At 43.8% G+C, this 13,011-nt stretch overlaps 1 pseudogene across 1 annotated transcript; it reads right to left on the reverse strand.

Annotated features, from left to right (window-relative positions):
* On the reverse strand, positions 9,599 to 10,656 carry SZRD1P1 (SZRD1 pseudogene 1; annotated as a pseudogene). Its single transcript, NR_073494.1, has one exon. The product of NR_073494.1 is annotated as an SZRD1 pseudogene 1 (transcript).

Here is a 13,011-nt window from a genome sequence, read left to right on the forward strand (position 1 = left end):
GTAGCCTATTGTTCTAGGCTACTATCTGTACAGCATGTTACTGTACTGAATACTGTAGGCAACTGTAACACAACCGTAAGTATCTGTGTGTCTAAACATATCTAAACATAGAAAAGGTACAGCAAAAATGCAGTATAAGAGATAAAAATGGCACACCTATATAATGCACTTACCATGAATGGAGCCTGCAGACTGGAAATTGCTCTCGGTGAGTCAGTGAGTGAGTGGTGAATCAATATGAAGGCCTAGGACATGACTGTACACTACTGTAGACTTTAGAAACACTGTACACTTAGGCTACACTAAATTTATTTAAAACATTTTTCTTTCTTCAATGATAAATTAGCCTTAGCTTACTGTAACTTTTTTTTTTTTTTTTTGAGACAGGGTCTGGCTCTGTTGCCCAGGCTGGATGGAGTGCAGTGGCACTATCTTGGCTCACTGCAAACCTCTGCCTCCTGGGCTCAAGCCAACCTCTCACCTCGGCCTCCTGAGTAGCTGGGATTACAGGCACACGCCACCACACCCAGCTAATTTTTGTATTTTTTGTAGAGATGGGGTTTTGCCATATTGCCTAGGCTGGTCTTGATCTCCTAAACTCAAGCAATCTGCCTGCCTCCGCCTCCCAAAGTGCTAGGAATACAGGCATTAGCCACCATGCCCGGCCAACTTTTTTACTTTATAAGCTTTAAAAATTTTTTTAAAACTTTTTGTAATAACACTTAGCTTAAAACATGAACACACTGTACAGCTGTACAAAAATATTTTCTTCCTTTATATCCTTATTCTATAAGCTTTTTCTATTTATTTATTTATTTTTAAGGCAGAGTCTTGCTCTATCGCCCAGGGTGGAGTGTATTGGCGTGATCTCCGTTCACTGCAACCTCCGCCTCCCGGGTTCAAGCAATTCTCCTGCCTCAGCCTCCCAAGTAGCTGGGATTACAGGTGTGTGCCACTACGCCCAGCTAATTTTTTTTAGTAGAGACGGGGTTTCGCCATGTTGGCCAGGCTGGTCTCGAACTCCTGACCTCAGGTGATTCACCCACCTTGGACTCCCAACGTGCTTGGATTACAGGCGTGAGCCACCGCACCTGGCCTATTTTTTTTTCTTTTTAAACATTTTTGTTAAAAACTAAAACACAAATGCGCACCTAGGCCTATACAAGGTCAGGATCACCAGTATCACTGTCTTCCATCTCCACATCTGGTCCCACTGGTACGTCCTCATGGGCAATTCCACTCACGGAGTTGCCATCTCCTATTGATATCAAGGCCTTCTTCTGGAATACCTTCTTTTTTTTTTTTTAAATAAGTAGAAAGAGTACACTCTAAAACAACAACAAATAGTATAGTAAATACATAAGCTGGTAACAGTGGCTTATGATCATTATCAAGTATGTGTACTGCACATAATTGTATTTTTTTTTAGGTGGAGTCTCGCTCTGTCGCCCAGGCTGGAGTGCAGTGGCACGATTTCAGCTCACTGCAAGCTCCGCCTCCTGGGTTTACGCTATTCTCCTGCCTCAGCCTCCCAAGTAGCTGGGACTACAGGTGCCCGCCACCACGCCCAGCTAATTTTTTGTATTTTTAGTAAAGATGGGGTTTCACTGTGTTAGCCAGGATGGTCTTGATCTCCTGACCATCGTGATCCGCCCGCCTCGGTCTCCCAAAGTGCTGGGATTACAGGCGTAAGCCACCGCGCCCGGCTGTATGTGCTATTTTTTTATACAGCTGGCAGCACAATAGTTTTGTTTACAGCAGCATCACCACAAATGTATGAGTAATGCCTTTCGTTACAGTATCAAGACAGCTACAATGGCAACAGGTGATAGGAATTTTCAGCTCCATTATAATCTTACCGGACCGCTGTCGTATGTGTGGTCTACATTGACTGAACCGTTGTTATGTGGTGCGTGACTGTATTTGGGCCATAAATATCTCTTCATATTGCTGGGAATAGGCCTCCATTAGGACTATGATCACCCACTCACTCTAGCTTATTAGAACACATCCCTATTATTATTATTATTTTGAGACAAAGTCTCACTCTGTCACCCAGGCTGGAATTCAGTGGTGTGATTTCGGCTCACTGCCACCTCTGCCTCCTGGGTTCAAGCAATTCTCGTGCCTCAGTCACCCGAGTAGCTGGGATTACAGGCATAAGCCACCATGCCTGGCTGACATCCCTAATATTAAATAACACATAATAAGATTGAAAAGGACAACATAATTACAGACATAGTAGAGACATACATCAAAAGATCATATCTAAAAAATAGAAAGTTGTGATAAATAATTTTCTAGAAAAATATAAACAAAATTGACTTCAGGAGAAATAAATCTAAATAATAATAATAATTATTATTATAGTTATTATTGTTATTATTTTGAGACAGTCTCACTCTGTTGCCCAAGGTGGAGTGCAGTGGCACAATCTCTACTTACTGCAACCTCCACCTCCTGGGTTCAAGTGATTCTCATGCTTGTAATCTTGAGTAGCTGGGATTACGGGCGCCCGCCACCACACCTGGCTAATTTTTGTATTTTTAGTAGAGATGGGGTTTCACCATGTTGGCCAGGCTGATCTTAAACTCCTGACCTCAGGTGATCTGCCCGCCTTGGCCTCCCAAAGTGCTGGGATTACAGGTGTGAGGCACTGCGCCTGGCCCAGCAGCTAATTTTTTTAAAAAACTGTTCATAGAGACAGGGTTTCACCATGTTGGCCAGGCTGGTCTCAAACTCCTGACCTCAAGTGATCCGCTTGCCTCGGCCTCCCAAAGTGCTGGGATTACAGGCGTGAACCATCGTGCCCGGCCCTAAACAATAATTATTTAAAAAATTAAAAATGGTAGTCAAAAATCTCTAATACCAAGACATCTTCAAGCCTAGTTTCATCAAACCTGCAATGAACAGATAATTCTAGTTTTATACAAACTGTTTTGGAGAATAGAAAAAGCTACTCAACTCATTTTATAACACCATTAAAACCTTGATCTCAAAACTGGACAAGAGTATATAAGGAAAGAACAATATACACCAATCTCTAAAACCCACACAAAAAAGCCCTAATTTAAAAAGATCAATATAAAGGGTTCCTTATTGGAGTTTTACTGCAACCAGATGTGTTTTGGTGACTGTACCATGTAATACCCTTTTTCTTTGGGAAGCAGCCTCCCTCAATGACATCTAATCCGAATCCATAATCTTTCAGTTCTTTTAGTTAGTTAGTCAGTTTGTTTGTTTTTTTGAGATGGAGTTTCGCTCTTTCGCCCAGGCTGGAGTGCAGTGGCACGATCTTGGCTCACTGCAACCTCCGCCTCCCGGGTTCATGCAATTCTCCTGCCTCAGCCTCCCGAGTAGCTGGGATTACAGGCACCTGCCACCACGCCTGGCTAATTTTTGTATTTCTAGTAGAAACGGGGTTTCACCATGTTGGCCAGGCTGGTCTCGAACTCCTGACCTCAGATGATCCGCCCGCCTCGGCCTCTCAAAGTGCTGGGATTACTGGCGTGAGCCACCGCACTTGGCAGTTCTTTTTTTTCTTTTTTCTTTGAGATGGAGTCTCGCTGTGTCGCCGAGGCTGGAGTGCAGTGGCGCGATCTGGGCTCACTGCAAGCTCCGCCTCCTGGGTTCATGCCATTCTCCTGCCTCAGCCTCCAGAGTAGCTGGGACTACAGGCGCCCACTACCACACCTGGCTAATTTTTTTGTATTTTTTTAGTAGAGACGGAGTTTCACCATGTTAGCCAGGATGGTCTCGATCTCCTGACCTCGTGATCCACCCGCCTCAGCCTCCCAAAGTGCTGGGATGACAGGTATGAGCCACCACGCCCGGCCAGTTCTTTTAGTTTTTAAAGCAGTCTCATTTCAGTTATTAATATTGACTTCTTCATTTTGAAACTTCAAATAATATTTGATTCAAAGCTTTCCTCCTCTTACCAGAGCAGGCTGGACCTGTGGCCCTGGTGACCTGGAATTGGAAATGGGGGTGTGGGATGTAGGGCATAGGTCTTCTTGTCACATCCCATTCTGTCTTCCCAATTATTACTTGTGGTACTCAGAATTCCAAGAATGACTCCCAGTGACCTTGCCTATGGATGATCCCCTCCCCTTTAAGCGTGGGAGGAACCTGTGAATATGAGGAGATATTACTCCCATCATTCTGTTACATTACATGGCAAAAGGGAGATGATCTGGGTTGGCCTCATCAAATCACATGAGCCTTTGAAGTCAGAGTTTTTTTCTGGCTGATAGCAGGAGAGTAAGTCAGGTTCAAAGCACAAGGGTGATTCAACACCCTGTTGCTGGCTTGAAGATGGAGGGGAGTGTGTAGCAAGGAATGCAGGAAGCCTTCAGGAGCTGAGAGTGGTCCTCACTGCTAGCAAGAAAAAGGGGACTACCGTCCTACAACCACAAGGAACTGAATTTGGCTGACAATTTGAATAAGCTAGAAAGCAGGTTCTTCCCTAGATCCTTAAGAGCCCAAGCTGGCCCACACCTTGATTTAGGCTTTATGACACCTGGAGCAGAGGAACCAGGTGAGCCTACCTGGATTTCTGATATATGGACTGTGAGCTAATAATTTGTGTTGCTTTAAGCTACTACATTTATGGTAATTTGTTACACAGCCATAGAAAACCACACATGACTCCTGCCATCCCGATACCAGTTGGGGTGGCAAGGAGGAAGGAGAGGAAAATTACATTTCTTTACATAATTGCCCTTCAAAATTAGTTGCCCTTTTATTAGCAGGACATAACTGTGGTTCATTGTATGAACAACCTCAACTAGATCATGGGAAACATTTCTGTCCCTTTCTGTTGGTTGTCCCAGTTTCTCTGATTATTACCAATTGACCACCAGTTCTCTTCATCTGGCAGGTGTCCAAATGATATTTCTCCAGAAAGACTCGTGGCATGGTCCTGGTAGGAAGTTGAGCAGGGGTATATGAATGAAGCTCAACTTCTTTCTCCCTAGTCCAGCACATTCTACCAATAGATATTCTATGTCTTTTGCTTCCAGGGTTCTATTACCCAGGTAGTGGCCATTTTAGGAGTTACCAGCAGAACTGCTTATACTCCTTCCATCTTCTCCAGGAACCACTTAATCTGGGGGAAACTCCAGCAACCTTTCCACCCCAAAGAGTGGGGATGCTGTTCAACTTCACTACCTTTCTTCTGCCAGCTGAATGGCTCTGTAACTTTCAGACTAGATACGATCACAGATCTCAGATTTAGGTCAGCTGGGAGATTATAAACTCTTCGTTCCACGAAAAGATGACCTCTATTATTCCTGGTCCTTCCTTAAAACTCTTAAACGTGGCCGGGTGCAGTGGCGCACGCCTATAATCCCAGCACTTTGGGAGGCTGAGGCGGGTGGATCACCTGAGGTCAGGAGTTCACGACCAGCCTGACTAACATGATGAAACATGTCTCTACTAAATACAAAAAATTAGCTGGGTGTGGTGGCACATGCCTGTAATCTGAGCTACTTCGGAGGCTGAGACAGGAGAATCACTTGTATCTGGGAGGCGGAGGTTGCACTGAGCCGAGATCAAGCCATTGCACTCCAGCCTGGGCAATAAGAGCAAAACTCCGTCTCAAAAAGAAAAAAAAAACTCTCAATGGTAAAAGTTATCAAACCAGTTCAGCCTGTATTGCCCTTGTGGGAACCAGAGTCTCAGGCCAAGAATTGGGCCTTATTTGAACTTAGCTTTAGAGAATTGAGCGTTCTTAACAGGGCAATATTCCTACTAAAATCTCTGAAATATTTGTTATCTTCTAAGAGCAGGAACTCAATTATGCTCCCATATCATTGTGTAATATTTTTCCTCTTAAAAATTCAGTTCATAAATGTCCAAAAAAAGAGATCTATTGTAACTAAGTAGAATTTTATCTGAGTAAAACAAGGAAGGTCAATATTGGAAATCTATCAATATAATCTCACCACATAGACAGATTAAAGGAGAAAAGCCACAGGGTCATTTCTAGGTGCATAAAAAAGCAGTGTATAAAACTGAACACTGATTCATACTTTTTTATAAGCTCAAAAAACCAGGAATAGAAGGAAACTTTTATGTAATAAAGAGCATCTACCTAAAATTTACAGCAAACATCACATTTTAAAAGCATTTTTACTAATGTCATGAATAAGATGAGGATGCCCACTATCATTGCTACTATTCCATTCCAATGGTTGTAAGAAAATGAAAAAGAGGTTTAAGGAAGAGACAAGTTAGTGATTTTTGCATATGATATTATTAACATAGAAAATCCAAGAGCATCTACTGAAAAACTAATAGTACTGTATAACAAAACAAAATACAGCCTGTAATCCCAGCACTTTGGGAGGCCAAGGTGGGTGGATCACGAGGTCAGGAGTTCGAGACCAGCCTGGCCAAGATGGCGAAACCCCATCTCTAGTAAAAATATAAAAATTAGCCAGGTGTGGTGGCACGCACCTGTAGTGCCAGATACTCAGGAGGCTAAGGCAGAAGAATCCTTTGAACCAGGGAGGCAGACACTGCAGTGAGCCGAGATTGTGCCACTGCACTCCCGTCTGGGTGACAGAGTGAGACTCCGTCTCAAAAAAAACCCAAAAAACAAAAAACAAAAACAGAAAGAACAAAAAAGCAGTATTGCTGGCTGGCTATAAGATCAAAACACAAAAATGAGTAATTGTTTCATATGTTAGCAATAACCAAATAGAAAATAAAATGTTACGGCTGGGCATGGTGGCTCACGCCTGTAATCCCAGCACTTTGGGAGGCCGAGGTGGGCGGATCACGAGGTCAGAAGATCGAGACCATCCTGGCTAACACGGTGAAACCTTGTCTCTACTAAAAATACAAAAAAAAAATAGCCGGGCGTGGTGGCAGGCGCCTGTAGTCCCAGCTACTCCGGAGGCTGAGGCAGGAGAATGGCATGAACCCGGGAGGCGGAGCTTACAGTGAGCCAAGATCGCACCACTGCACTCCAGCCTGGGTGACAGAGCGAAACTCCATCTCAAAAAAAAAGAAAAGAAAATTTTAAAAGGTGTAATTTAAAAACAGCAATAAAACTTATAAAGCACTTCAGAAAAAAGCCAGCCAAACATACAACAGCTTTAAGGAGGAAACAATAAAGCATTATTAAAGGATGTTAAGAGAGACCTAAAAATGGAGTGATATATCATGTTCTTATCTGGGAAGAATTCATACTGAAAATAAGTCAAATTAGTCTAACAATCCAATGCAATGAAAAGCAAAATCCCAAGAGGATTCTTTTTGTGAATTAGACAAACTGGTTCTAAAAGTTAACATCCAGGAAGAGCCAAAACAATACTGAAAAAGATAAAGAGAGCTTTTCCTGTTACATATTGAAACTTACTCTAAGGTTTACTATTCTGTTGCCCAGCAAGTCCTCTTATAGGTATGCAGCCTACTGTCCGTGTTGTTTATGGATTCATAAATTTACAGTGAATGTATAAAACACAGACTTAGTGGACAGGCATCAAATTGATCATTATCAAGAGAAGGGAGGGGAATGGGATAAAGAATAACAGTGAAATTTTAATTTTTTAAGCAATGTTTCATTAAAAAAATTTATTTAGGCCAGGCTCAGTGGCTCACACCTGTAATCCTAGCATTTTGGGAGGCCAAGGCAGGTGGATTGCTTGAGGTCGGGAGTTTGAGACCAGCCTGGCCAACATGGTAAAACCCCATCTCTACTAAAAATACTAAAGATTAGCCAGGCATAGTGGTACAATCTTGGCTCACTGCACTCAGTGTGGGCGACAGAGCAAGACTCTGTTTCAAAAATAAATAAATAAATAATAAAAAAAATATGTTTGATGCAGGAATGACAAATGTGAATTCTGGGTAGTGGTTTCTTTTTTTCTTTTTTTGTTCTTCAGAGCAGAAGAACTTGAGGCGGTGGTTTCTTTTGTTGAATATTAATTGTTCTGTGAATGTTTCTGTATGTTTCAGTCAAACAAAAAGTTGATTAATTTTCAAAGTAAAAACAAAAAGTCTTTGTATTCACTACTTGCTGGGATTTTGCTTTTTATTTTTTACTTTATTTATTTATTTATTTTTTGAGATGGAGTCTCACTCTCACTCTGTCTCCCAGGCTGGAGCGCAGTGGCATGATCTCTGCCTCCCAGGTTTAAGCAATTCTCCTGCCTCAGCCTCTGGAGTAGCTGGGATTACAGGCGTGCACCACCATACCCGGCTAATTTTTTGTATTTTTAGTAGAGACAGGGTTTCACCATGCTGGCCAGGCTGGTCTCGAACTCCTGGCCTCAGGTGATCCACTCGCCTCACCCTGCCAAAGTGGTGGGATTACAGGCATGAGCCACCATGCCCGGCCTATTTTTTACTTTTTTATTTTCCAGGACAGAGTCTTGCTCTGCCGCCCAGGCTCGAGTGCAGTGGCGCGATCTCGGCTCACTGCAACATCTGCCTCCCAGGTTCAAGAGATTCTGCTGCCTCAGCCTCCCGAGCAGCTGAGATTACAGGCTTGCACCACCATGCCCGCCTAATTTTTGTATTTTTAGCAGGGACGGGGTTTTACATGCTGGTCTCAAACTCCTGACCTTCAGTGATCTGCCTGTCTTGGCCTCCCAAAGTACTGGGATTACAGGCGTGAGCCACTGCGTCCGGCCCGGATTTTGCCTTTTAAATAACACTATTCAGTTCCAGATGTTTGGAAAGACATAAGGAATTTGAACTACTTCTGTAATTTTAGATGGTCTCATAAATATTGTGAAACTCAGCATTCTAAACACGGTTTCTGAGCTAAATCTTGTTTAGTTTTCACCATGCTTTAAAGATTAGTTGTGGCCAGGCACAGTGGCTCACGCCTGTAATCCCAGCATTTTGGGAGGGTGAGACGGGTGGATCACCTGAGGCCAGGAGTTCGAGACCAGCCTGGCCAACATAGTGAAATCCCGTCTCTACTAAAAATACAAAAATTAGCCGGGTATGGTGGCACAAGCTTGTAATCCCAGCTACTCGGGAGGCTGAGGCAGGAGAATCACTTGAACCCAGGAGGTGGAGGCTGCAATGAGCTGAGATCGTGCCACTGCACTCCAACCTGGGTGACAGAGTGAGACTCCGTCTCAAAAAAAAAAAAAAAAGAAAGACAAAAGATTAGTTATGACTAATAAATACAAGTACGAAGTGGCCCTTGGGTCAAGATAAGTCTGTTGTAGACTTTTTTTTTTCCCCTTGAGACATGGTCTCACTCTGTCACATAGGCTGGAGTGCAGTGGCAGGATCACACCACAACCTATCCGGGCTCAAGCCATCCTCCCAGCTCTGGCTCCCAAGTAGCTAGGACTATAGGTGAGTGCCACCACGCCTGGCTAATTTTTTTTTGCAATTTATAGAGACAGGGTTTCGCCATGTTGCTCAGGCTGGTCTCAAACTCTTGGCCTCAATAGATCCTCCAGCCTTGGCCTCCCACAGTGCTGGGATTACAGGTGTGAGCCTTGTTTGCAGAGTTTAGGTCCCAGAGAATATAAAGACACTCAAAGTATCTCAACCTCTTGGAACACCTCTTGGGCATCAAGAACAACGCTACTAGAAATAAGCAGTTTGCCTCTAGAGAAACTTCAAGTAAGCACAACAAAGGGCAAAGTGACACAAGATAACTGTGGAATGCAAGCAAACAGCAGCAGCTGGTCTGTATTTTTTTAAATGGCAAAGTCACAAACAACAGCAACTGCTTTTAGAGTGAGCAGGTAGTTTGCTTTCTTTTTTTTCAAATGGAACTCACTTTTTAAGTGATGACATGCACTTGGGGGTGGGTAGGTGTGAGTTCATTTGTGTTTTGAAATCCCAAATTAATGAGCATGATAAACCGCTATTGCTGGCCCTGTCTGACTCTCTACTCTGAGTAATTGGTGGGTTCCCCCCAACCTTCTCCTAACCCTCACCCTTTTTCCCTTTCCATTGACTTGGGACAGTCCTTGTCAAAGTGCCAATCACAGTGGGAAGGAGGAGAAGGGGGGAGGTCACAGTGCATGGGATTCAAGGTCACAGTGGGCGGAGCAACGGGGATCACCAGGCAAGTAAGTCAAGTTCCCGCTGCTCAAGTCCAGCTGTCTGCCACGGTAGTGCAACCCTTGGCGGACGACCCAGGACGCGTTGACGCGGCAGTCGCGCCATCTCTTCTTGCCTGCATTTATCTGCGCTGTTTGAAGCCGTGTGACCCATCAGGACCCAGAGGCTGTCTGATCACATTATTGGGCTGTCTGCTGTCTTCGGGTTAGGAGATCCTGGTTGGCCTGAAGGGAAGAAGATCAGAGGAAGACCTATCGAGGATGGGTTTCTCCTGCTTCTCCTCGGGTTGGCGCTGCCCAGGATCCGCTTCCTGGCCTCGGTGTACTCGGCTTCCCACTGTGCCAGGGACTTGACTGGAAGGGCGGGCCTGCTAGCGGACTTGGGGCTGCTGACCACACCGTTGCTGGTGGGCCTCTTGAGGATGCGGACCTGTGGAGGGGGTCCCGGGGGAAAATTATCATCCTGAATCACAATGGGCACTTTGGGAGATTTGAATTTCCTGCTTTCTGTGTGATCTTCAGTTTTTTTTCCAGACGTCTATTTCCCCGCTGTCTGCCGTCTCCTCCCAGCTCTCAGCAACCTCCTCATATTCCATCTTACTCGCCACTTTCCAGATCGCTTGCTTTCTTATTTCCACATTTTCTCTGACTTTTGCAGTATTCAATATTATTACCTGATTCTGATTTTTCAGACATCACTATATGGTCCTTGGCTTTTTGGTCGTTCCTCTCATTCCTTTGCTGTTTCAAGCTCTGTTCCCAGCCTAAGCTTTTTACCACCGAATTCTGTTCTGTGACCCATAACTTAAAACTAACCCAACTTTTCATTCCCTCCAGACTTTTTTTGGTAAGCAGTATCATCATGCTTTAGGTGGACACTGAGTCATACTGCTGTGGTAGTGCTGGTACACGTAGTTTTGAATACCAGGTTCTTGAGTGAATCCTTTTTACTTCTCTCTCTCTCCCCCACCCCCGCTTCTCCCTTCTGCCTTCATTTCTGACCCTTCTTTTCTGGTTCCATTAGAAAAGGACTAATCTTATCAGTTCTGCCTTTTTTTTTCTGCTCTAATAATTTTGTCAAGATAATTTTTTCAAAGCACAAGGCCAATGAGAAGGGGGAAAGTCGGTCCAGAAGGCAGCCGGCCCGACTATTCTGAGTTTGAATCTACTCTTGGTGGTCCTGTTAAAATACAGTTTGAAGCAAATCACTTGTTTTTATGCTTCTAATGTCTACTCTGTCGAAAGCCCAAATTTCCTTGCTTGGCATTTAAGGAGACTCCAAGTTCTTAAAACTTCTTCTTGACTTTCATGCAAGTCAAACGGATTTATTTATTGTATCTCAAACAGTCCTCTTATATTTTCCTTTCTGTATTTTTTGATAATTTTCTTGTGCCTGGAATATTCTCTGCTTTTATTTAAGTCTCACCATCTTTCAAGACACAAAATATGTGTGATCTCTGAGGCCTTTGTGAACTGCCTCCAGCATTTACTAAGCAATTAATTCTGTCTCTGAACTTTTATAGCACAAACCCATTCGTTCACTTGATATTTAACAAATATCAACCTCTATCACTTATCTCTTTTTTTTTTTTTTTCTTCTGAGATGGAGTCTTGCTCTGTCACCCAGGCTGGACTGCAGTGGCGCGATCTCCGCTCACTGCAACCTCTGCCTCCCGAGATCAAGCGATTCTTCTGCCTCAGCCTCCCAAGTGGCTAGGATTACAGGCGCCCGCCACGGGGCCCGGCTAATTTTTGTATTTTTAGTAGAGACAAGGTTTCACCATCTTGGCCAGGCTGGTCTCGAACTCCTAACCTCGTGATCCACCCACCTCAGCCTCCCAAAGTGCTGGGATTACAAGCGTGAGCCACCGTGCGCAGCCTATCACTTATCTTTTCATGCTTACATTTTCTCACTGCTTGAGATTTTCTTTCATCCAGGGTCAAGCACTGAGTCTATTAGAAACCCCACTGTATATGATCTGATGAAGATGAGATTATCTTTTTAAAAGCCACATATTAAATCTCTTAAGTTAATAATATTGGCAATCAACTTAAATCAACTGAGTGACCACTATGTTTAAGGAAGTTTCCTTTCTGGTAGGCTGGGAAGCGGGAGAAGGGAAGGATATAACTTTATAAAAAAAAAAAAGCTGCAGAAGGGAAGGATATAACTTTATAAAAAAAGGTCCTTGTTCACAAGGAGCTAATCACTTACTGGCCAGAGAAGAAACGTGTTCCTTCTTTGCAATGGCTGTGTTTTTGGGTTTAGCTAACTCAATTCTTTATGTCCTCAATTTATGAGACCGCATCAAAAACGTTTTTGCCACATCTCTGTGGGAAAGTAGGTGAGTCAGAATGAGTGCATAATATATAAGTATATATTTTAATGATAATGAATGTGTAGATTAACAAACCCAAACTTTGTTTTTGTTTTTTTGAGAGTCTTGCCCTGTCGCCCAGGCTGGAGTGCAATGGCATGATCTTGGCTCACTGCAGCCTCTGCCTCCCGGGTTCACAGGATTGTCCTGCCTCAGCCTCCGGAGTAGAGTAGCTGGGATTACAGGTGACCGCCACCACGCCCGACTAATTTTTGTAGTTTTTAGTAGAGACGGCGTTTCCCATGTTGGCCAGGTTGGTCTTGAACTCCTGACCTCAAGTGATCCACCCGCCTCGGCCTACCCAAAGTGATGGGATTACAAGCGTGAGCCACCGCGCCCAGCCAAACCCAAACATTCTAAAAGCGCAGAGTAACCGCTCCCCTCCCCGCCAACGGTAACCAGCATCTTCGTTCTCCAACCAGAACAGCTGTATGCACCGGTGTATAAGCCTGCCTTAAGTGCTATTTTTAATCTTTTTTAAAAACAGGCCTTAAAATAACTCATTTGGGTACAACTCCAGCGGCTGGTGGAGTGGGCTTAATATATTAAACAGCTGTTAATTTTGGTTTCTTTTTGGTAACAGCGACACG

The sequence above is a fragment of the Homo sapiens genome, chromosome 12 (genome assembly GCF_000001405.40).
Source record: "Homo sapiens chromosome 12, GRCh38.p14 Primary Assembly".
Taxonomy (NCBI): Eukaryota; Metazoa; Chordata; class Mammalia; order Primates; family Hominidae; genus Homo; species Homo sapiens.